Source organism: Homo sapiens, chromosome X (assembly GCF_000001405.40).
Source record: "Homo sapiens chromosome X, GRCh38.p14 Primary Assembly".
NCBI classification, from domain to species: domain Eukaryota; kingdom Metazoa; phylum Chordata; class Mammalia; order Primates; family Hominidae; genus Homo; species Homo sapiens.
The window spans coordinates 31,110,676-31,136,878 of record NC_000023.11 but is presented as its reverse complement, the minus strand read 5'-3'; the positions used below and the strand labels follow the sequence as shown (position 1 = coordinate 31,136,878).

At 37.9% G+C, this 26,203-nt stretch overlaps 1 protein-coding gene across 24 annotated transcripts in view; it reads left to right on the top strand.

Moving 5' to 3' along the window:
• The window catches only part of DMD (dystrophin), a 2,220,167-nt gene extending 2,202,510 nt beyond the window's left edge, over window positions 1-17,657 (top strand). For 11 of the 24 annotated variants that reach the window (NM_000109.4, XM_006724475.3, XM_017029328.2 and 8 more), the window contains 3 exons: window positions 2,685-2,777; window positions 10,206-10,237; window positions 14,949-17,657. In NM_000109.4, the coding sequence (NP_000100.3) occupies window positions 2,685-2,777; window positions 10,206-10,237; window positions 14,949-14,960 (137 nt within the window). In that variant the 3' untranslated portion in view covers window positions 14,961-17,657. 24 annotated transcript variants of the gene reach the window in all.

Here is a 26,203-nt window from a genome sequence, read left to right as displayed (position 1 = left end):
TCACTGCCTTAAAAGTTTTCCATTAAAGCAAAGAAGCCAATTTTACATTTGTATTATACTTGGACACTCATATTAAAGACTCACAGAGAGTTTATCTGGAAAAATAAACTTGGCTGACATCATTAGGTTTATACTTTATAATTTGATCTTTGAAATAATTCAGGAACAGGAATGCCAGTCACTTCATTGAACTGTACCTGAATTTTAACACAGTACAATTGAGTTCCTAGAGCTCCAATATGATGTAATTAAACTGTCAGAAATATTAACATCGATGTTCATGAGCGTCGTTCATGATGTTCTCTTGGTTCTGATTTATTCAGTGAGGCATACTGTCACTGAAGTGGACTTACTGCCATTAAAAATGCCTCATGTTTCCCAGTTCCGCAAAAATTTGCATCAGTAATGAAACAGAGAGATGTAATCAGCCCTGCAGTTGTCAGGATCTTGATCCTCTTGGTAGTATTTCATTCATTTCATCTTCACCAGATAATGGTAGTTTAAAACCGCAAGAAAAATGAAACTAAAAATAGTGAATTTCACTTCTTTTTCTAAAGGCATAAACTTAAGCAAATAGTGCATGTGTGTGAGGGGGGAGGAAGAGAGAGAGAAAGAGGAGAGAGAGAGTTTGTAACTATTCCTTTTCTGCTTTGTGACCTTAATTCTTCAGCACCCATTTCCTGTACTTAATATTGCAAAGAGGTTTCCTGTGGTATGTTACCAGGAGACTCATGTAGTCTGAGGCTTTTTATCTACCTTACGTTCTTATCCCTCCATTCTAATAAAAATATGAAGCCTCACATCCACCTAGAATATGATTTTGTCTTAATGGTTAGCATTGGCAATGATTCTTTTAGCTTCTGCTGTTAAAAAAAAAAAAAGGAATAAATGCAGGATTCTAATCAAACATGAAAATCCAAGTGGCATAGACCAAAGGGAATGAGAAGCATATTTAAGTCATTTAGTCACTGGCTTCCGAAGCAGTTCCAAGTCAGATGTAAACCTGAGGTTGTCCCTAATTAAGTTCATTATGGTTGACTTGCTAAAGCAAGGTCTTGTTTTAGATGGAAGTGACAATGTGCAAAACAAACAGAGCTTGAATAGAAGTTATTTTCACTATTGGAAGATTGTATATTATGAAAAGTTAGTTTCAAAGGACCTTTAAAGTTTAATTTTGTTTGCACCTAAGAAATTTCCCTTTAACTTGCAAATGCTGTTTGAAGTGTATTTCTTTAACACATGAACAAACAATACAGACACAGATTCACAAAATCTACAAGGAGATTTCCATTCCCAGTGAATATCATCCATCCATAGGTTTCTTTGCTTCCAGATCATCATTCTCTCCTCACATAAACAGTCAAAATGTTTGTAATGTCTTCTTTATAAAACCCAAAACATAATTATGATAAAGTAGTCCCAAGTAACAGAGGAAAGGACCATAACTCTCCAATATATGCCATATCTACAGTTTTTAGAATATTCATATTTCATTACCTATATAGGATATATACTATTTTTATTTCTATTACATTGGAGTTTAAAGGTACTTGAGTTTCGTTTGTATTTTTGGTTAAATGTCAAAACAAAGAGTGAAAAAAAGACCTCAGTGTCTCAACTCCCTTCTTACCTTCATGAAGTGACTGCAAAGTGTTCAATTCTTACTCTTTTGTGTTGAGGAGACAGCACTGCAAGTGTGCAGTAATACTTATTTTATTACATAGAACAAAGTTTCACATTTGTGAATGGGGCACAAAAGAGAGCTTGTCAGTTTTACCTTTTTCAATTGACTTTTTCTTTTATTCTTTTTAACTTTTAAATTTATTTTTTGTTTTTTTGTTTTTTTGTTTTTAAATAGAGACAGGGTCTCACTATGTTGCCCAAGCTGCTCTCAAATTCCTGGCAGCAAACAATCCTCCCACCTCGGCTTCCCAAAGGGCTGGGATTACAGGCATGAGCGACCGCACCCAGCCTGTTTTTTACTGTAGTATAATATTTGTACATATTTATGGAGTGCATTTGATATTTTGTTGCATACACAGAATGTGTTAATGATCAAGTCAGGGTATTTAGAGTATTCATTATCTCATGTATTTATCATTTCTATGTGCGGGGCACATTTCAAGTAACTAGTCAACTTTTAAAAAGATACGCAGTAGGCTGGGCGTGTTGGCTCACGCCTGTAATCCCAGCACTTTGGGAGGCTGAGGTGGGCAGATCATGAGGTCAGGAGTTCGAGACCAGCCTGGCCAATATGGTGAAACCCTGTCTCTACTAAAAATACAAAAATTAGCTGGACGTGTTGGCGCATGCCTGTAGTCCCAGCTACTCGGGAGGCTGAGGCAGAAGAATCGTTTGAACCTGGGAGGCGGAGGTTGCAGTGAGCCAAGATCGTGCCACTGCACTCCAGCCTGGGTGACAGAGCAAGACTCCATCTCAAAAAAAAAAAAAAAAAAAGATATACAGTTTTTTTTTCTCCAAGGGTAATGATATAGATAAACTACTGTATGGATTTCTTCTTCCCTTTAAAGAATTACTTCCTCATTATTAAGCTTGAGGGTTTTCTTTGTTATTTATGAGCAAGTGAAATGAATTTATAATGGTGTTAAAAATGTAATCATGGCCCTTTAATATCTGTTTTCTATAAATGTAATTTTCCATTATTTGTTTTTGCTTTTATTAAGGTGAGGAAGATCTTCTCAGTCCTCCCCAGGACACAAGCACAGGGTTAGAGGAGGTGATGGAGCAACTCAACAACTCCTTCCCTAGTTCAAGAGGTAAGCTCCAATACCTAGAAGGGACTCAGATTTGCTGGGATCAGGCCACTCGCTTCCCTACCCAACTGGTGTGTGTATTTTCCATATGGAAGCCAACACGCAGTATCAGAATGGCAATTTGGGTCCATGGTGAAAAGATTTGATTTTTAAGTGTGAATTTGTGGTTTAGAGTACTCTGAATTCAAATACCCGTGAGGGCAACATGTTTCCAAAAATAAGAATACCACCCTCTATTTGTCAAGTATTTTACTTGCTTCACACATTAGTCTGAAGAGTTAATTATGAGGTGCCCTTTACTGAAGAGCAATTATTATGTGACTTTTACAGATGAGGAAATTAATGCCCTGATAGTGCCTTTGCCAGGGACATATGGCTACTACGTGCTACAGCAAGGCCTAGAACAATGCCTACTGATTGGTAGTGGTAGAGATTCTGACTTGCCATCTGATGCCCTTTATATTTAAAAATTGTATCTTACTCCATCATTTAAATATAGGGACAATTAAATCTTCATAGAGTAGTTGGTTATTTTTTACTTCGATAGAGGAAATACAGGCTTAGCAAAGAAAGACATTAATATTTTTCTTTTTCTTCATCACTTTGGCCTTGCGTATTTTACCCCCATACAAAAACAGCATTTTACCCTGCAGAATTTTCCCACTGGCTTGCATGAGCTTCAGATGTCTTGCTTCATCCAAGATGATGTTTTGCTGCTACTGTTCGTTTCTGGGGGCATTTATTTGGTTTATTGCCCTCACATAAAACAAAGTCACTCTCTCGCCTTCCTTCAACGAATAAAAAGGATGGTGGCAGTCACCTGTGATCAAATAGAAGAAAAGCCTAGAGAAACAAAAGGGAGAAAACACAAGGCTTTGTGGCCAGTGATTGGCACCTCTAATGGGTAGCCTGGGAGGGACGGGCAGCAGGAAATCTGGGCTGTTTGTTCCTCTCCATAAGGGCAATGAGGAGGGTGTATTGAGTAGTGTGTTTTTCCTATCTTTTTGTTCAGTGTCAGTTAACAATGGCCATTTCCTAGCTATTTGATGTGCAAGTAAACGTTGTGCAGTGCACATTAAAAGCAATAATGTTCTGGTAGAGCGTTGCTAAGGAACCGTCAGGGGAAGCTAATTTTAAATGTCTGCACCAGCCATCTTTTCACTGCTGAGCGCCACTGAAGTGATGATTTTAACAGATAAAAATCTTATCTGTCTTCCACCCACCTCCACATCCCCCACCGCCACCCGCATCCCCATTCTGACTATCTTAGGTATCTCCTTCTTCTAGATGTCATAATTCATAATGAGAAGATCATACACAGGCTTGACAGAATCAGGTGCTTTCACGTGTCTCCTCATTACTTTGTCCTGCTTGCTTTTACTAGCACCTACTACGTACCAGTGGAGGTAGTAGGGATGGAAAGAAGAAATGACAAATTCCTTGCCTTCAAGGTACTTATGGTCAATTGCAGATACAGAACTCCAAAGAAATTCAAATCACAGTACAATCATTGATTACTGTATGATCCTGGCCCCTTGAACTGGCAGCTTGCTTACCTGCTCTGGAAAGTTGCTGGCTGCCCTGTTGGCACCCTGGGCATTTCTTCCACATCTAAACAAGAGGTTAGTAGAGAAGAAGCTACAGCAAGGCTCATGACTCTGCTTCTTCATAGGCAGCCTTGACTTCCTAGACTCCTTTTTGTACCTGAGTTTCTGGTCCACCCTAATTAGCTGTAAGGTGAAATCCTTTGCACCATCTCCCTGTGTCCCGCTTTTAGAGTCCTTAAAGCTAGATACCACATGGGTGTAGAAGCTTCCTGGAAGACAAGAAATATACCTCCTCTGATATGGTATTTAGCAGTCAGTATCTCTGATGTTGATTTACTTACTTGTATGGAAACTTGGGAAACTCAATTCAGGCCACCTGGATAGTGTTTACTAAATTAGTGCTTACGGAAGAATTTCAGGCCTTAAGGGCTGATTTAAGTTCTCAAATGTGGGAGAAGGAAGCCTTGTCCGATACCAATTCCATTAACTTAAGTTCCGGCTTACTCAGTGGTACCCTTGTGGCCTGAGAAAATAAATTCACATTCTTAAAAAACAAAACAATTAAATACACAAAAAACACAAGAGAGTAGCTAAGGTATTGGAAAATCTGGCCTATCATTCTGTAATACCATGATCTTGGCATTTCCTCACGTTTTGCTACTTTCAGCTAACTCAGGCTTTCTTACAGGCCTTTTTCTCCCCAAATTCAAGTGGATAAAAAGTTTCATTATTGTAAAAATTAGGCTAATTATTGATGCACTCAAAAAAGTGGTTTTTGGATGCTTTCTTTCCAACTAAAAGCACTTTTGTTTTTTAATTTTGAAAAATGGCATATGTGTGTGTACACACACATATACCGTCAAGTTTGGCGGGAACATCTTACCAGTTGGTAGATGTGTTCAGCTGATATTAAGCAGAAATTCTTGAGAATCTTAACATCTTGGGATTACAAAGTCTTTCAAATGGAAGAGCCTTGAAAGGTCATTTTAACACTTTTGACATCCAGGACAGTGATTTCTGACTCTGTTTTGATGGTTATCCATATCAGAGGAACATTTTACATCACAAACTGGGGTAAAGATATAAAATAAATTGTACATGTGTTTATGTACACACATGTATATATACACCCACCATATGTACACACACACATTTACAGTGTCATATGCATACAAAGATCAGAAACAAAAGTTTCATCAAGTGATGCCTTCCATACTACATACAGTGCATGCTGTTTTTCTATTTTATTTATTTAAAAACAAAATGCTGGTTGCAACCCACTAAATGGATTTTCTGAACCAGTGGTTTAAAAATACTAATCTATGTGATCTCAGTTTTTCTTGCCTGGTTGAATTATCTTTCAAAAAAATTTAAATTTTGAGATTTTTGCCGTGGAAGTTTCTGCCAAGACGTTGCTAATGTCTCAGAGACCTTTATAGTTTTATTCTAACACTACCATCCATGTTCTCATTGTTGTGTTACAAAAAACAAAGTTCATGATTGCTACAGCTGTTTTGGACAGCTGTTTGAGTAACTCAAAACAGATGTGAGAGCCAGAGGTCTGACATTTAGTGGAAATGTGCTATTAAATACCACCGCGTGGTTTACTTAACCCTGCTAGATAATTGCCCACAGAGGAAAAGCCGTTTTTAAAAAACTTATGCTCTTCATAAACATAAAGTATATAGATAGGTAAGCTATTATGTACCTCAAATTTACAACTTTTCTGTTGCCCCTTGCCACAGAGTTGGTCCTGAAGGTGTCAGCTAACCTTTCTTTATCTTTTATTTTCACAAAGAGTACCTGGAAGCCAAGAAAAGTCAAGTGCCTTATTTATGGCCATTCAGCAGGTTAAGTTAGGCTTCTAATCTTATCTTAATGGCTTTGCTAAACTGTTATCAAAATTAATAAATGAGTGGCATGCTTCTCCATTTAGTGATAAACCGATGGCCAACACTATCCTGCATAATAGGCAATATAAGCAGGAGCATATTCAAGATATGAATGTGTAAACATTCAGCTTTGTGATTATATCTTTCTGGTTGGTCTCTAGATATACTTAGTTGTTCACAAACACTTGGGAGATTTGAGTGGCTCAGTGTATATTTGAACACTGAATATTAGCCAATTTCTATCTAATCTGTCTATCTCTAATCTCTTCCTTTGTAAGTATATGTGTAGAAATTGAATTATAGTGTAATAAGTCATTATCTACTTTACTATAAGGTACTCTCTAAAGCTCTGCCATTCTATAGGAAAACTACATGGGTACAATAAACAAACGTAATTTAAAAAATAACCCCATTAAGTGATTTGTCCATAAGTCTCTGATCATTTAGCAGACTAACAAAGATATTTTTATATGTATGTGCATTGATGAAAGAAACGCTCTCCTAGTCAGTAGTATGGTATTAGGCTCTCTAAAATGTGGTACCACTTTATATAGATGAATGAATAATAGGAGCCAAGATAAGCTCTTAATGCAGTAAAACAATCCAGAAAGCAGTTAGCAGTGCTACTATTTCTGCTACCTGTACAATCTCTTGCCTACTGACCTGTGCCACATTATCTCCACCAGCCCATGCCATCCTCTTTTTTTCATACCATCCCCTCTCAAATAAGCCCGCGTACATTCTATCAAATACCCCTAAATTACCAACCCAACAGCTTTGTAAAACCTACCGTCTTTTAAAATTAAAATCTTATTCTGTGGTTCTTTTATGGAAGAGCAACATAAAGAACAAAGGCAGATAGAAATATGGTGTGCCCTTTTTCAGGCACCATTCTGTTTCCTGTATGCTCCCACAAAGGATTTGAGCGGTTATCCCTTTAATCCAGGACTAGCAAACTACATACAGCCCAAATGCCAAATCTGGCCCAATACCTGTTTTTATAAAGCTTTATTGGAACACAGCCATACCCATTCATTTACATGTTGCCTATAGTTGCTTTCTCATTACCAGGGCAGAGTAGTTGCAGCAGTGCTGAATAGCTGGTCCAGAGACCGTGGGCTTGCAAAGCCTGAAATATTTACTATCTGGCCCTTTATGGGGAAAATTTGCCAATCCCTGCTTTACGCTATTATTTCGTTGTCCATTCTGACTCATTACATGTATAGAGTCACAGGCTTCTGTGCTGATCAACTTTCAGCTGAACAAGATTATTGAGCTGAAATTGAATTGATTTATAGATTTATATTCATATTCACCAAAGAGCCTGCAAGTGTGGCCATTTGAATTTTTTTGACTTATAAAATAACAGAAATCCTAAAAAGGGACTTATTCTTCCTTAAGTATTTTAAATAGTCAGTGAATTAATATAAAAGAGGCTAAAAGCACCCAGAAACAGTACTGTCCTGCAATTCCAACTCTAAAATAATGAATTACAATCAATAATGTCAATTTTATAGTGCCCGAGGAAATTAGACTTCTCGGGACCTGACCAAGCCCTTTATTTAGACTCAGGACTGCCCCAGCACACTTCCCTTTTGTCTTGATTCATTTCCTGACAACACATCACATTGCCAGATGGACACTGTAACTGAAGGTCTACAGAAACTCATTTCCAAAAAAAAATAAATGTTTAGAAAATGAAACATATCTGAAACTTTATTTATCGGTCAAGAACTTTTAAAAATGTTGTAATCAAGTAGCCTCTGTTTTGTCAGCGTAGAACTAGTCCTTTTACAGTAGAAAATATCATTTGTTTTTAACTTTTTCTAAAGTGAAAAAAAGGACCTTCCTTTTGTAATGTGTTAATGAGTACGTGGGGACCCAAGTGATGAGGGAGGATTTTAGAAGAGATTAGAGTTAGCTTGGCTCTGGGAGGTCCATTTTCATAAAATATGGTTTCTGAAGAAGGATCTGGAACATAACACAAGTCATTTGCTGCTACATATTAAGAAATAATCAATTGATAACTGAGTTCTGAATATGGCTTAGTGTAGAATTACTAAAGATATGTATCATTAAGCATTCAAAGAATCATCGTTACATTCTGAAGTACATAACCATAATTACATTCTAAATCACATGGCTTTCTAACAACACTGTCCTTCCTAAAGATCTCAAGTTTTCAAAACTAGACCAAAGTTACATGCCGAAACAAGTTACCCACCTTTGGCATCCAAACTAAAGTGTGCCAGTGAAGGGCAAGTTACTTATAACACAGAAGGACTCCTCTTGGTCATGACCCAACTACTACTTTACCAATTCACTTCAGCCAGTATTTATCAAATACCAAAAGTGTGTATATACGGTACAGGGCATTGGGCATAGAGAGGTGGATGAGCAACATGTGGACCCCGTCCTCAAGAGGCTTATAGTCTTACAGGGGAAGGGAATTAATTCTGCCACCAGACAGTATTATGAAACATAAAGATACTTTTTTAAAAAAACCTTGCTAAAGGAATCAAAAAGAAGGGGTGAGTGATTCATACTGGGATTTCAGCCATCAAGGAAAGAATGATGTTCTCCTCCCCAAATGATGGGAACATCATTTGGTATGGATCTCCCACTAGTGACACCCACAGCTGAGGAGCTAGTACCCATTTTTCTCCCTCTTTTCCCTGGCTTGAGGAGCATCTTAAATACCTGGCCCTTACGTGGTCAAGCTGAAAATCTGATACTCCTAAGAAATCGCTGAGTCATGTAGGAAATTCAGAAGGAAGAGAGGAAGGGAGAGAAGGAGAAAGGGAGGGAAGAAAGAGAAGGAGAGAGGGAAGAAAAACTTAGAAACTATCCTTAAATGTATACTAGAAGTTTTGAACCCTAACCTTGAGTGAGTTTTGAAAGGTTTCTATTGGTGTCGTAGCTCCATACCTCTTCATTCCAGACTAGTAGTTCTCAAATTGTTTCAGGGAGTTTTTAGTCTTCTTGGAGCCACTGAGAATGATGGGTGGAGGGGAAAGGGAGATGCTGTACAGGATCTCTCACAGCTCTGCTTTGAACTGCTCAAAATATTGGAATTCCATATAAGATTGTTTTAGGAGATGTCCCATTGCTATAGTTAAAACAGTTTGAAAACCAAGATTTTAAAGGAAATTGCATGCCCAAGACAGGCTATTGACATGTATGGACAGAAGTCCCTACTTTTCTGTCCAATTATGACTTATCATAGAACACTTTCTCATCAGAGTCTACTTTTGAAATACAAATAAATGCATACAGATGTAGGAATCTATGAATCAAGGCCAGTGGGTCTTTAGCCATTGCCTCGTAAGGCTCCTGATATTTGCTGAATTGGGGAGGAAGTGGAAAGCTCATTCCTGGATCTGGCTCTGTGGCTTGCCCATTACTGGGACTTACCTCTTCCCCTCATCTGTTCTTTCTGTTTTCTCAAATGCCTCCAATTTCATCATGGAAATGCTCAGCTTCTATCAGATAGAACAAATTCTCCCAAGAGGATGGAGTCCAGCCTCTATGTCGGGTTCTACCTTGCATTTGATGTGCAGACTTTGGGCACACAGAGTCAACTACTGTTTATGTTTCAATGTGCTGATTGTCAAGAGTGAAGAGATTCTGAGACTTTTTTTAACATTAAGTTTGAGTTGTCCTTGAAAACAATGCCCAATTTGTCAGATTTCTATTCTGTGCCAGTTTTCATCCAGTTTAATGCGTGAACTCTATGGATTTTACAAATGACGTCTTCTGGATCATGTTATCTGTTTACACTGATCTTAAGTGTATGTAAAGGTTATTTGACTAGATGTGTCTTTTGGGTTTTTTGTTTCTGTTTTTTTTTTTTTTTTTTTTTCCAGCAGAGAATAAATGGTCATCTCAACATTTGTTTGGTAAAAGAAGCAAATTGGTATGAAATTGTATATTTATGCATGTTTTTTTTCCCTTTCTGATATCTCTGCCTCTTCCTCTCTCTATTATTAAAGGAAGAAATACCCCTGGAAAGCCAATGAGAGAGGTTAGTGAGATTCAGGCTCACGGCCATGGCTTCTGTCTGTCTCATCCTGCTTTTTATGTTTGGCGTTTGTGTAAGAATTGTGTGTGTGCACGCGCATGTGTGTATTACACATTGTGTCATCATGTAAGGATGGTAGTCACCTCTCCACTTGCAGCTCATGAGGAACATTCCTCAAATGTTCATTGCCGTTGTCATCACCATGACGACAAGACTGGGGTTGGGAGCAAGAATCTCTTTAAAATGGCAATCCTTTGTAGTCCCTAGGTTGGAATCCTGCCGTTCATCATCTGTTGCCATTTGCAACACTAACAAAATCTTCAAAATAAATTTAGCCTTGAACATAACTGATGAGTCATAAAGCTTTCTTCCACTTCCAGGACCTTAGCATTTTCTGCCAGCGCCCTTAGTTTTTATTCTTCTGGGATGACTTCATTTTGCTTTTGTTTCCTTTTTTCTTGGTTCCTACGCTCTTTCTCTCCCATTTTAGCGAACATTTTTTGAGCACTTACTGTGTGCCAAGCATTGTTCTCAGCACTTGCCATCTTTTTCATCATGTCATCTTCATGACAAACCTGTGAGGTAGGTACTCTTATTAACCCCGTTTTACAGATAAGGAGACTGAGTCAATGAGAGAGTAAGCAGTGTGTCCCAGGTGACAGAGCCAAGGATTTGGATCCAGGCAGTCTGGCTCCAGACCCACACTCTTAACTCTCATTTGAAAGGCTTACATCATCTCAACGTACCCTTCAGAAGATGATCTTTTTTATTTGGTATTTGAAGCCACACAGAACAATAACCAATTCGATTAAAAAATTAAATATTGGAGTTTTGAGAGGTTTTTAAAATGCCTATTTATGGGTTGAAAGGGATAGGGTGCAGTCTTATCACTGAATGTGGTTTCAGGTTTTACGGTGAAAGATGCTTCTTACTCCTATTCCACCAGGAATATTGTCTGAATATCGAATTACCTAATTAAGTGACTGTTGGATGACAAAGTGTTAACTGACAGCCCAAGTAAAATCAAGGTTGTCTTTACCAAGAATTTAATCTGAAGGAGGAGAGAAGGAAAGCTCTCCCATGGGATGACAGTGTTCTGGGAGACAGGCTGGATGGGTGGAGAGTCCTTCTTAAATGAGAAGATTCTGGATTCCTTAGCAACAGGATGGACTGGAGAGACCACTGATTCATTTAAACACAGGAGTCGTAATGAAAACTCTGCCAACATCATGCCATACAAGTCTAATCAATTTAATGATTCTTCAGTGTGTCTGTGCCAGTGCCTCCTTCCAAGGCTTTGGGCAGTGGGGCCAGGGAGGGAATGGTAGGCTGGGAGGAGAAATTGAGGAAACCTGACTTGGTGAAGCATTGAATGCCCCTGACGGTTTGCCTGGTTCATGTACTTCGTATGTGAGACTTCTTGGGTTCATTCTTATGGTAAGTGCCCCTTAAAATTTATTCATTTTAACTTTTTGTAGAAAAATGCACCATAATTTTGACCACCTTAAACATGTTTCACTCACAAATGAATTTCAGAAAAGGCTAGCACATGTAATTGAAGTTATATAGGCATTTGCAGACTTGACTACCTGAGGTGTATGGTGTTCAGACAAGTTTCCAGAAGCCAAAGAATCAAAACAATAATGACCTTTTTTAATGCTATGAAAATATCCCAAATGTACGTAAAGCAGATTTTTTTCAGAGATTAAATTATAGAGAAGAAAAGATAAGCAAATTTCCCTGTAGTATTCCGGCTTTCCTTTGGACAACTGAATGCTAACAATTTATTTGGGAATTGTATTTTTAAAAAATAGAGCACCAGATTGCTATTGAGGTCTTGGATCTTTGCCAGAAAGTCTCAATTCCAATCGCTGTGGAAAACAATTCCCTCAGGCAGTGGTGACGTGTGAGACTAAATGTGTTGCAGTTAGCGCCAACTTGAAAAACATACAACTGCCCTAATGTTCAAGGCATAGTGCCTTTGTGTTCAATAATCCTTAAGAATGGATTAAATCAATACTTTCTATAGACATAGTTTTCTGTCACCTTGTGCCTGAAGGTGATTGCAAATGCCTGAATCCTGGCTGCTTTTCAGTACCTCTCATACTTCATAGTATGAGATTGTAATTTTGACTTTAGAAAAATCTGTCAGGTAACATTAATGACCTCCCGAATGCTCTGCCTTACACACATGGATAATAGAACTAGGATACAAATCTACTTTCTATAGTCATGTCACAGTGCAGTCTTACCCCTCCAACGGATTAAAGTATGATTCTTTAGGGCAGTAGTTTGTAAAAAGAGATTGACTTCTTTTTTCTGGATCTAATGAAAAACTCCATGGAAAGAAATTAGAATTATTTATTCTGGTAAAGCAGGTATTTAGTGAAGTAACCAAAGGCATAATATAGATGATGAGGTGACTCTAAAAGTTCTTTATTTTTATAGCACAAAGATGGCCACAAGGTCATTTGTGAAAATGCAGCAGTGTAAACCGGTTAAAGGCCACCCAACTTTTTGTCGGAGTGTGCATGGCACATTAAGAATAATGAACCTGTTTTCCCTGGCAAATCTTTAAATAGCAGATACCCCTAGAACTTATGCTTCTTGAGAGACTCAAGAATTTTCCTTCCAGTTAGTAACTGAACACCATTTCAAGGAAGAGAAGCACCACTTGGCTATATAATCCATAAATGCATTTATTTGTTTTATTATATTTTGAACTGCCATCTACATCCCCTAGCACACAGCCTAAAAAGAAAGACACTTTGTGATTATCGATAAGCTGACAGGAAAAAAAATGAGTTTTCTCCCCTTTTCGTTGATGTTTTGTAATATGTTTTCTAGCTACTAGGTGGACTACATACTATAGTCACATGTGGGCCATGAGAAATACTTCGAATTACATTCAGGCACCATGTTGTAAAGGTCCTGGACTTTGTTTTTACTGATTTTGTTAACCGTAAAGATCGCTAGTAATTAAAAATTGGCAGTTAGTCCATCTATCTTCAATTTATGCATGAATAATTATGCAGATTTCCCAGGGTTGCTGGACAGCCAAAAATAGATACAGGGGAAGCCCTCCAACTTGATAGCAGCAGTTATATATTTGTACTCTGAGCTCTAAGGAGCAGCAAAGGCCCCACTGTGTCGTCTTCCTGTGGTTTTTATGGCACAGAAAGCCAAAAATGATTTCAGTTCTTCACTGAGGGCTGCCAAACTATTGGCCCACTTTATGAATAGTTGCATATGCTTTGTTAAAAAATTTTTATACTTGCAGTCTCAGCCAAAATCCAAAGTGATTTTCTAAAATATAATTAATACTCCATGAAATTCTTTGCACTAATAAAGCACAAAAAGATAGATATACAAACTTGGTCACCTTAATAGAAATGCCTGAATGACATTAAACTTTTAATAAGTAAGTCTTCAGTTGATCTGGTGCCATCACTGTTTAAGTGCCTGCCCGTGAATCCGCTTCATTTTGTAGAGAAGCTATATCTCTTGAAATAAATATTAAAACAAAATACTCTCCCTAGTCTATAGCTTTAATTTTTATTGGGATATCTTTAATTTTTATTGGTATTTTTAACAATTATTATGGGAATCTGTAAAGTTGATACATGGCAAGGTAGTAATAGCCTAGTAAAGCATTTCAGTTCCAAAGACAATACTTGAATAGTGGAAGGATTTACCAATGTGCAATAATTAAAATTAGCCATGTAAAACTATGGGACATAGACGAAAAGGCAAGCCATAAAGTAAGTCTCAGATTATCTTACTCTAAATCTGAATTTTGCTACGAAGTACCCAGGGACATTGTGCTGTTCTTTTTCTCCGTGCTGGGAGATTCGTGCTAGGTCGTGCTGCATTATTAGTAAAAGGCTATTGTGATAGTTAACCCTCATTTAGGAGGAGCTCTAAGATGGATTCACAAAATACCCAAATGCATACAATACATGTGGGTCACCTTATAATTAGGGTCTAGAGTAATTTGGAATGTAAAGCAATTTTTATTCTGAGGTTTCCTAATTCAAATGTTAATAGTGCACCAAAAGGTCAATTCAAGAGTTTATTATTATTATTTTTCAACCCAAGTAAAAGCAGAGAGAAAATAGCCACCTCCACCATAGCCTCAGAAGCAAGCCAACAGCCTGAAACAGCTTTGAAATGAAAAGTTGGTGTGGCGGTGATGGTGGCAGTGATAATGGTGACGATGGTTGGGTGCTGGTGATGGTAGTGGTAGTTGTGAAGGTGGTGATGGTGGTTTGATTGATAGTAAAAAAAATGTTCGTTAATACAAGTAGAGAGTAAGTAATCAATCAATCACTCATAGCCAAGGTGGAAAAGATGTATCCCATCATGGAATATTCCTGTTCTGATAGAAATCTTGTGCTTATCTATGGAATTCTTTTGATATATATTTACATTGGGAACCTGAATGTAGCTTGACATTTTTCCATGTAAACACCAGTAGCCTGATCCAACATTAAGCTGATACTAACAAACAACGTGTAATGGCTTCATTAATAAGGCTTTGCTTCTTCCTGGAAACTGGTGAAAAATCAAACCTTGTTGTGTACACCCTCGATGCAGCTTCTGTGTTGTCTTCACCCAGAAATGGGGAATGATTTCCCAAATGGCAAAGAAACAGAGTGATGCTATCTATCTGCACCTTTTGTAAAGTCTGTCTTTCTTTCTCTTTGTTTTCCAGGACACAATGTAGGAAGTCTTTTCCACATGGCAGATGATTTGGGCAGAGCGATGGAGTCCTTAGTATCAGTCATGACAGATGAAGAAGGAGCAGAATAAATGTTTTACAACTCCTGATTCCCGCATGGTTTTTATAATATTCATACAACAAAGAGGATTAGACAGTAAGAGTTTACAAGAAATAAATCTATATTTTTGTGAAGGGTAGTGGTATTATACTGTAGATTTCAGTAGTTTCTAAGTCTGTTATTGTTTTGTTAACAATGGCAGGTTTTACACGTCTATGCAATTGTACAAAAAAGTTATAAGAAAACTACATGTAAAATCTTGATAGCTAAATAACTTGCCATTTCTTTATATGGAACGCATTTTGGGTTGTTTAAAAATTTATAACAGTTATAAAGAAAGATTGTAAACTAAAGTGTGCTTTATAAAAAAAAGTTGTTTATAAAAACCCCTAAAAACAAAACAAACACACACACACACACATACACACACACACACAAAACTTTGAGGCAGCGCATTGTTTTGCATCCTTTTGGCGTGATATCCATATGAAATTCATGGCTTTTTCTTTTTTTGCATATTAAAGATAAGACTTCCTCTACCACCACACCAAATGACTACTACACACTGCTCATTTGAGAACTGTCAGCTGAGTGGGGCAGGCTTGAGTTTTCATTTCATATATCTATATGTCTATAAGTATATAAATACTATAGTTATATAGATAAAGAGATACGAATTTCTATAGACTGACTTTTTCCATTTTTTAAATGTTCATGTCACATCCTAATAGAAAGAAATTACTTCTAGTCAGTCATCCAGGCTTACCTGCTTGGTCTAGAATGGATTTTTCCCGGAGCCGGAAGCCAGGAGGAAACTACACCACACTAAAACATTGTCTACAGCTCCAGATGTTTCTCATTTTAAACAACTTTCCACTGACAACGAAAGTAAAGTAAAGTATTGGATTTTTTTAAAGGGAACATGTGAATGAATACACAGGACTTATTATATCAGAGTGAGTAATCGGTTGGTTGGTTGATTGATTGATTGATTGATACATTCAGCTTCCTGCTGCTAGCAATGCCACGATTTAGATTTAATGATGCTTCAGTGGAAATCAATCAGAAGGTATTCTGACCTTGTGAACATCAGAAGGTATTTTTTAACTCCCAAGCAGTAGCAGGACGATGATAGGGCTGGAGGGCTATGGATTCCCAGCCCATCCCTGTGAAGGAGTAGGCCACTCTTTAAGTGAAGGATTGGATGATTGTTCATAATACATAAAGTTCTCTGTAATTACAACTAAATTATTATGCCCTCTTCTCACAGTCAAAAGGAACTGGGTGGTTTGGTTTTTGTTGCTTTTTTAGATTTATTGTCCCATGTGGGATGAGTTTTTAAATGCCACAAGACATAATTTAAAATAAATAAACTTTGGGAAAAGGTGTAAAACAGTAGCCCCATCACATTTGTGATACTGACAGGTATCAACCCAGAAGCCCATGAACTGTGTTTCCATCCTTTGCATTTCTCTGCGAGTAGTTCCACACAGGTTTGTAAGTAAGTAAGAAAGAAGGCAAATTGATTCAAATGTTACAAAAAAACCCTTCTTGGTGGATTAGACAGGTTAAATATATAAACAAACAAACAAAAATTGCTCAAAAAAGAGGAGAAAAGCTCAAGAGGAAAAGCTAAGGACTGGTAGGAAAAAGCTTTACTCTTTCATGCCATTTTATTTCTTTTTGATTTTTAAATCATTCATTCAATAGATACCACCGTGTGACCTATAATTTTGCAAATCTGTTACCTCTGACATCAAGTGTAATTAGCTTTTGGAGAGTGGGCTGACATCAAGTGTAATTAGCTTTTGGAGAGTGGGTTTTGTCCATTATTAATAATTAATTAATTAACATCAAACACGGCTTCTCATGCTATTTCTACCTCACTTTGGTTTTGGGGTGTTCCTGATAATTGTGCACACCTGAGTTCACAGCTTCACCACTTGTCCATTGCGTTATTTTCTTTTTCCTTTATAATTCTTTCTTTTTCCTTCATAATTTTCAAAAGAAAACCCAAAGCTCTAAGGTAACAAATTACCAAATTACATGAAGATTTGGTTTTTGTCTTGCATTTTTTTCCTTTATGTGACGCTGGACCTTTTCTTTACCCAAGGATTTTTAAAACTCAGATTTAAAACAAGGGGTTACTTTACATCCTACTAAGAAGTTTAAGTAAGTAAGTTTCATTCTAAAATCAGAGGTAAATAGAGTGCATAAATAATTTTGTTTTAATCTTTTTGTTTTTCTTTTAGACACATTAGCTCTGGAGTGAGTCTGTCATAATATTTGAACAAAAATTGAGAGCTTTATTGCTGCATTTTAAGCATAATTAATTTGGACATTATTTCGTGTTGTGTTCTTTATAACCACCAAGTATTAAACTGTAAATCATAATGTAACTGAAGCATAAACATCACATGGCATGTTTTGTCATTGTTTTCAGGTACTGAGTTCTTACTTGAGTATCATAATATATTGTGTTTTAACACCAACACTGTAACATTTACGAATTATTTTTTTAAACTTCAGTTTTACTGCATTTTCACAACATATCAGACTTCACCAAATATATGCCTTACTATTGTATTATAGTACTGCTTTACTGTGTATCTCAATAAAGCACGCAGTTATGTTACAAAAAAGTATTGACTGGACTGCAGTACTTTGTTTTTATTTTAATTTAGTTGTTGTTACTTACTTACTTACTTTTTAAATAGGTAATACATGCATATGAGTAAAAAACTATAATCCAGAAAGACAGTGAAAACACTCCTAACTACCCCTTCCCCCATATCAATCAATCATCCTCATTGCTCTATGAGTAGACATTATTAATTTCTTATTTAGTCTTCCAGAGGGTCTTTCTTTATTAATTATTATATAAGCAGTTAAAATAATATATATGTTCCTATTTATTTTTTTCCTATTATTATTTCATAGGATATAGCATTCTCTGCACCCAGTTATGCACCTTACTTGTTTGTTTGTTTAAATTTAAATATGGACTCAAGAAATCTTTTCATTTAAATATATAAAATGCTTTCTCATTCTTTTTTATAGCTGTATAATATTTCATTATATGTTCATAGGATATTTTATTTAAGCAGTTCCCTTTGGTGGGATATGTAGTCTGTTGTCAGTCTTTCTTTTGCTATAACAAACAATATTGCACATTTCTCATTACATCATTTCATTTGTGCATAAACAAACAAATCTGTGGGATACTTCCTAGAAGTGAGATTGCTGGATCAAAGGGGGTAAGCATTTGTAGACTGGGAGATGATACATTTTGTGCAGTGATTGATTGATTGATAGTCATAGTGTTTGTTTGTTTGTTGTGTTTTTTGTTTTAATAATGACAAGTATATTAATTAAGTCAGTTTGCAGTTCATACTTTGCTTCTCAAGAGAATTTCATATCACTTCTATTCTTAATGTCACCATCTAAGAGGATGCATGAGTGAGTAGTAAGAAAGAGACACCTAAAATGATGTCTCACAACTGGTTCTGGGGAAGAAGAATCCCTTACCATAGTCAACCACCACCATGGGGAGAACCTCTCCTTTGCCCCTGCCCTGCTCTGTTTCTTGCCCTAGCTGCAAAGGAAGCTGAGAAAGTGGGTAGCAATGTCAGCACTTCTTAGGGAGAGGCTATCTATCTTTACCTATTCCCAAGGTTCATGGATGGGGTGGGCGGGGTTCCCCAACAGTGTTCAGATACTGGTGAGCCAAAGGAATAACATAAGTCCACCAGGTGCAGCCTATCCTAGTGATTTTGGAAATAATAGGAGATGAGATGATCCATCTCATTAGAAATGATGTTTGTTAGTAGATGTGGCATCTCTGCTGTGAATCAATCACTTGCTAATTTTTTGAAAGTAGGGTGATGATGCTGACCTAAGTGACTACCACATTGAAACACTTCCCTTGACATCCACACATACCAAGAAAAATTTTCATCCTATTTAAATAAACAAATCATTTATCCTTCCCACCATTACCCGAACCTACCTTTGTTTGAAACACCCAGACTGGCTGTTTTGGTGACACTTAAGGAGGTAACTGAGGAATCTTCAATACTTCACCACGTCTAAGACAACTGTGTGTGGATGACTCTGAGGAGGGCATTTGGTTTTCCATTCCATACTTGGCACACACTAGAAGAGACAGAATTAATTCAGTTAAAAATTAAAATGAATCGAGCTGGCACAGATTATGCACCGGCAAGCAAAATGTGTGTTTGTTTGGGAGAAAGCACCAAGACTAATGGATGTGTTCTGTAGAGCTGCGATGGGATTTCCCTGAATTTGTAATGCTCTAATGGTGGAATGAATACAAAGGCAGGCACTGGCGCACTTGCAAAGACTTTGCCTTCAAATTAAGTGTAGGAAGGACACAAATCAAATTCTTTCCCACAGTAGCAAAGCCATTGGAGTAGGAACTATAAATATGTTCTTCAATGCCCCTTGCACGTCAGTGTACTGTGATCTCATGGACTTAGCTGACAACACAAGAGTGGCAGCATGCCCAACATTCCATAATAAACAATATTGTGTGAATGTGTAAAGTTTGGGGATGTTTGTTTGAGAGTAGCTTTTGTGTACAGAAAAGGTTACCTACAGTAACTTGAGGTTTAAATGTTATATGTACATATGTGTGTATGTACATGTGTGTATTTTATATACATTCAGGATTTTAGCTCTTCCATAACTTTATTTTGAAATAATTCAAACAAGAAAAACTGAAACAAAAGAAAAATTGCAAGAACAGTACAAAGAAAGAACCCACATATACCCTTTACCCAGGTTAATGAATTGTTTACATTTTGCTTCATTTACTTTATCGTTCTCTCAATGAATAGATGATAGTTTTTCCTGAACCATTTTAAGAATAAGTTGTAGACATCATGCCTCCTTACATTTAAATACATCATGTACATTTCCTAATATCTAGGACAGTCTCTTGTATAACCATAGTACAATTATCAAAATAAAAAAATTATATATAGCTATCATCTACTCCACAGTCCATATTCAACCAAATATTGTCAATTGTGCCAATGATGTCTTTCATCATTATATATATTTCCCTAGTCTGGACTCTAATTCATGATTTCATGACATTTAGTTGTCATATCTCTTTAATCACCTTTGATCCGGAACAGTGTCTCTGCCTTTCTCTGTCTTCAAAGACCTTCACATTTTTAAGAGTACAAGACAGTTACTTTGTAGGATGTGCATCAATTTGGGTTTGTCTGATGTGTTCTCATGGTTTAGATTCAGGGTATGCATTTTTGTCAGGAATACTACACAAACAATGATGTGTCCTCAGCATGTGATACCAGGAGGCATATTCCCATTCTTGGTGCTGTTAACACTGATCATTTGGTAAAGGTGGTGTCTGCCAGGTTTCTCCACTTGGTATACATTTTAAAACCTAAGTTTTCATAAATCTTTAGGTTCAACTTAGAAATTTCATTTTTAGATATATAAATGTAGACAATTTGTATGAAGTAAGAACAGTCACTTTTAGTGAGCAGACTTAGCCACGTTGAGTAGTCTGAATTTTTTCGTTCTAAGCTGTATTTATACACTTAATGTGCTTTATTTTCAAGCCTATCTAATATCTCACAGGGAAGACCAACGCCAACCAACAGCACCTCCACCATACCTAACTCACATATATCGAGACAAACATATAAATATAGTGAATCTCAAGTCCTCTGAAACATTCCAATAGCATATACTGTATGAGCTGAGTCCAACTTTTTTTATTCATTTTGAAATAATAACATGTGTAAAATTACACATTTTACATTGGAACCTAAGACATCTCTCCAATTTGCTAATATGTCAAATTGCCACAAACATCTTAAGCACTTTAAACGAACACAGATTATGCCTAAATTCAACATAAAAGTATTAAAACCAAGGGTTAGGTTTACTCCACCATCTCTTTGTTTCATTTTAAAACTTCCTAGGCTTTCAAGACTTATTTGATAAGGTGTATATTAAAATGTGACCCAGGTGTGTTAAAGTCTTTGAATCTCATAGTTTTGAGGGTGGCCACATGAGGTCTGTAGCCTTCAGCCTCCTGCAGTTAATCAAGGATGCCCTTCAATTGATAATAAATGTATCTGTGTGCCACAACGTGAAAACATTTGGGAAACTCTGCACGAAGAGAATACTTTTATCATCACAACAAGAGTTGAGGTTACTGGCTCAACAATTCCTATCCATACTAAAATTAAGCATCCTGGGCATGTTGACAATTTTTATCAGCCAAAAATTTGTGACTGGACTGAGTAACTCTTTTGATGCCACAGAAGGATAAGCACTCAATTCCTTTTTAAAGTCAGTACGACAATTGGGGGACTCCAAGCCTGTACTTTCCAGATACGATTGATTTCACACCCTGTGTTCCTGGGTTCAATTTCCCCCTTTATACCTGTGTGGGTAGCTGCAAGCTCCTATACTAGGACTCCCCTAAGTCCTAGTGTGCCTGCTTCATTGATGGCTACATCTTTCATCATGACATCATTATCAATAGCACCCTTTCAATCTCAAAAATGCCCTTCTTAGTAGGTACACCTAATGTCTTTCAAACACACTGTTTCTCAATAGAAATGTTGTTGGTATTTGGGTTGGGACAATTCTTCATTATGCACAACTGTCCCTCACTTTGTAGTTCTCCCAGTCATTTTGATGACAAACCTGCCTCAATACATTCCCAAATGCCTCCTAGGGAAGCAGTAGAAAATTGCTGATTCTCTTTACTGCCTGAATACAGGCTGTGTTCTTTTCATACTCTCCCTAACTGGCAAGCTCCAGCTCTTAGAGATATTTTAATGGCATTAGTTCTTGCATACTTTTCCTATTTTGTCCAGCCCTCCAGTCACTTCTCTAAAGTAATTTAATGATACTACGCTAGCTGAAAACATTGACCATGAGATAAAAGCCAGCAAATAAAAGTATTTTTCGACAGTAGAGAAAGAAGCTATCCCCATTCATTTGCATTCATTTAAATGTAACATCTGGACTCTTGGTGCGTTTTGAGCTTGTAGATACACCCCAGCCACATCCCCTCTTGTCTTCAGAGACAGTGCATCCATGCCCTCGCTTCTGGGAATATCAGCTGCTGATGGCTCACAACTGTGTCCCTCTCCGGACACCCCCCCCCCCCCCCGAACTGTCAGAACAGAGAACTGCCTTGCCCAAGGTAACACCACCTGTCACAGGGAAATCGCCTGGGCCAATACTGGCTGATGTAGAGAAACAAAAACCCAGTCCCCTTGCCTCAATTTGGGACAATTCTGAAGGGCCATCCCAGCTCTGGAGCACCACCTGGAATCCACCAAGGTCTTAGTTGTAATCACTTCACAGTTCAGCTTCTCCTCTGCCCCTCCTGCCTTCTCACTTTCTTCAGGTGTCTCTGTTATGAGCACCCCTGCCCCCAGTAAACCTTCTGCAGAGAGTGCTCCATCTCAAAGGCTGCTTCCAGGGAGTCCGGTCTAAAACATTGCTGTTTGTTTCACTGAGAGAGTTGTGAAACAAAAGAGTAACCTAAGTCATTCTACCTCTTTCTCCATCCTGCTGCTTACTACAGCCAGACTGCCCCTTCCAACTGCTTGGAACTGCGAGCCTAGCCTTCTTCACTCACTGCTGCATTGTTTTTAAAATAAAAAAAAAAATGATATACAATATTTTACATCTTTATGGGGCTACATGTGAGATTTTGTTATATGCATAGAATGTGTAATAATCAAGTCAGGGTATTTGGTGTGTCCACAACCTTAAGTTAATCATTGATATGTGTTGGGAACATTTTAAGTTCTCACTTAGCTACTTTTAAATATACAATACATTGTTGCTAAAAGTTGGTCTGCTTTAAAAAAAGAAATTTAGAGACGAAGTCTCACTATGTTGCCCAGGCGGAACTCAAACTCCTGGGTTCAAGGAATCCTCCCATTCTCCTGCCTCAGCCTCCTGAGTAGCTGAACCACAGCCAGCTCACTGCTGCATTCTTATTGTTCAAGGTTTCATGGCAACAGTCACGTTCCACACATCAGCATCCTTTCTTTCCTCCATCCTAAGTCGAAACAGCCTGCTTCTCCAAAGTTTACTCACTCAAGGTTGCTTTCACCAAAATGCTTATGTGTAATGTTCATGCGTATGTGCTTACATTTTTTACAGTCTATCCCCGACCTGTTAACATTGGTATGCCCTAAGGCTCAGTTCTTGGACCTCTTTTCATTTATGTTTACACTTGCCACCTTGGTAGTCTCATTCGGTCTCAGGGCTACAAATACCTTCTGCATGATGATGACTCCACGATTTGTATCTCTAACCAGAACTTCACCCATGAACTCCCGACTTGTAGATCCAGCAGCTTCCTCAACAGCTCCACTTAAAGGTCTAATAGTCTTCTCTAACTTGTCATATCTAAGAGCAAGCTCCTGATCAACCCACTGCCACCACCTCCCATCACTATCTAAAATATTCTCTCCCCAAGCCGTTCATGGCAAGCCTATCCTTCCAGTTGCTCAGGTCAAAAACCTTAAATACTCTTGACTCCTTTTCTTTTGCACCCACAACCATAGCATCAGCAAATTCAACTGGCCTACCCTTTAAAACAGATTAGAACCTGGCCACTTGTCCTCATCTCTACTTTCACTGCACTGGTCCGAGATATCATAATCACTGTGCTGCCAAATCATCACAATAGCATTTAGCTGGCCTCCCAACTTCTACCCTTCCTTCCTTCAGTCTATCCTCAACACAGCAGCCTTATTATGTTAAGGCATAATAAGGTCTTGTCACTCATTGGCTTAAAATCAACCAATGGCTTCCCATCCCAAAATAAAAGCCAAAGTTATTCTAGAGCTCGAGGGGTTCCTACACGATCTGACCCATACCTCTCTGTCTTCCTCCTTGCTACCCTTCCTCTCCTTCACTCTGCTCCATCCATGTACCTGACGCTTTATTGTTTCTCTAACACACCAGCCAGTTCTGACCTCAAAGCCTTCATGCTTGCTGTTTTTTTCCACTCAGCATGCTCTACCCTAGCTGCCTGTTTCGTTGGCTTCCTCATTTCCTTGAAGTCTTTACTCAAAACACCTTCTCAGTCAGACCTCTCCTAGCCAGTATTTAGAACTGCAACTCCCAACACTACCCTTCCCTGTCCCAGCTCTATTATTCTACACCACATTTATTACCAGCTGGCATACAATGATTCTTTACTTGTATATTTTGTGTTTCATCTGTCTCCTCTAACTAGAATGTAAAGTTAGGGAGGATAGGAATTTGGGTCAGCTTGCTCACTATATTATAGTCCAGAGCACCTAGGACTCCTGGCCCAAAGGATGTTTTCAGAGTGAATGGCTGAACTAGGGAGGAGACAATAAAGTACACAGGAAAAGTGACACTTGGGGATTTCATATTCTAACTTTTCTTTCCTAGGCATTAGTCATGTTCTTTTTACGGGTGGTGTTCAGAACTCTGGGATGAATAAGACAGCTCAGGGACATTCCAGCAGAGAGTCAGAGATATGGCTGTTTAAGAAATAAGACCCTAAAAGAAATAAATAAGAGAACTGAAATTTCATATACAAGGGGAAAAAAATAAAACTGTGAGGTGATTTAACATCTTACATTGAAGGTGATGACCAGTTGTTCCCCACTTCTTCTGAAGAGAGAATCAAAGAAAAGGAGTTTAAAGCATAGCTTGAAGAATTTGGGATGCTATACAAGAAAGAATTCAATAACAACCACCCTGGCTAAATTCTGAATGCAGTGGATTCATCTTCCTCTGGAAGCTTTTATAGAAGGACAGATTCCCCTTCAAGTCTGGTCCTATATAATAGTAATGTGGGCAAGGTAAAAGCTAAAACAAGAATGTAAAATGGCTTCATTACCAACCTTTCCTTCCTCTGATCCTTTTTTTTTTTTTTTTTTTTTTTTTTTTTTTTTTTTTGTGAGACAGGGTGTCACTCTGTCACCCAGGCTGGAGTGCAATGGCACGATCTCAGCTCACTGCAACCTCCACCTCCCAGGTTCAAGCGATTCTCCTGCCTCAGCCTCCTGAGTAGCTGGGATTACAGGCATCTGCCACCACGCCCAGCTAATTTTCTTATTTTTAGTAGAGATGGGGTTTCACCATATTGGCCAGGCTGGTCTCGAACTCCTGACCTCAGGGGATCCGCCCACCTCGGCCTCTCAAAGTGCTGGGATTACAGGCGTGAGCCACCACGCCCGGCCTTCCTCTAATCCTTTAGCTTGTCTTTTGCTGTCTTGTTTGGCTGAATGGCTTGTCTAAGCCTGGCCTTTTTAACATATGATAGGACCTTCTGCTCCATGTTATACAACAGGTAGCACCGATGCCCCATTCTGGCATTTTGCTTAAACACAGGTCAAAACCTGTGCCTTTAAAGTGATGACAGATTCTTCCTTAAGTTTTTCCTCAATATCCTAGCCTCCTACCATGTTTCTCTGAAAAATTTTTGGCATCCTAAAATGGTACCATGATTCTAAAACTGACGTAGTGATACAAAACCTGATCTGTTCATATATGTGTGATGATACAAGTCATCAAAAATTGTAACTGTAAAATAGGTATTTAAGTGGTTTTTTCTGATTCTAAAATCACAACAGTTTAAACAATAGTGTCAATATTCATTAACTAAGCATTCACTCAGTTTCTACTTCAGGCCAGGCACTTAGGATATTAAGTTAAAAGGGGATCTGTGTGTCCTGTTTTGTACCTCACAGTCTGCTAGAGGAGACAGGTGAGAAATATTTGCCATAGGTCATGATATATGACTCATGCAAGCTAAAGCAGTAGCACAAGGAAGGTGTCCTAATCAAACATGGAGAAATCAGGCAAAATTTTAAAGAGAAAATCCCTACACTGAATCAAATAATTACATTTGCAAGCACTACGTTAATATTCTTTCACGTGTTTTGTTTGGAAAAGATCTTTCCAATTAATCTGGTCTTCAGAGTAAATTAACGCTCCCTGCAGCGTACGATGGTCATGAAAAGATACTATACAGAATTGGCAGCCAGATGTCTAATAAAGTTATACGCAGCCCAAGGATTATAATTGCCAATAAAAAATTCCACATTTCTGGCCACATTTAGCAAAGATTATTAACAGACATGCATTACTACAAGCAGCCTGAGTCCACCAACAT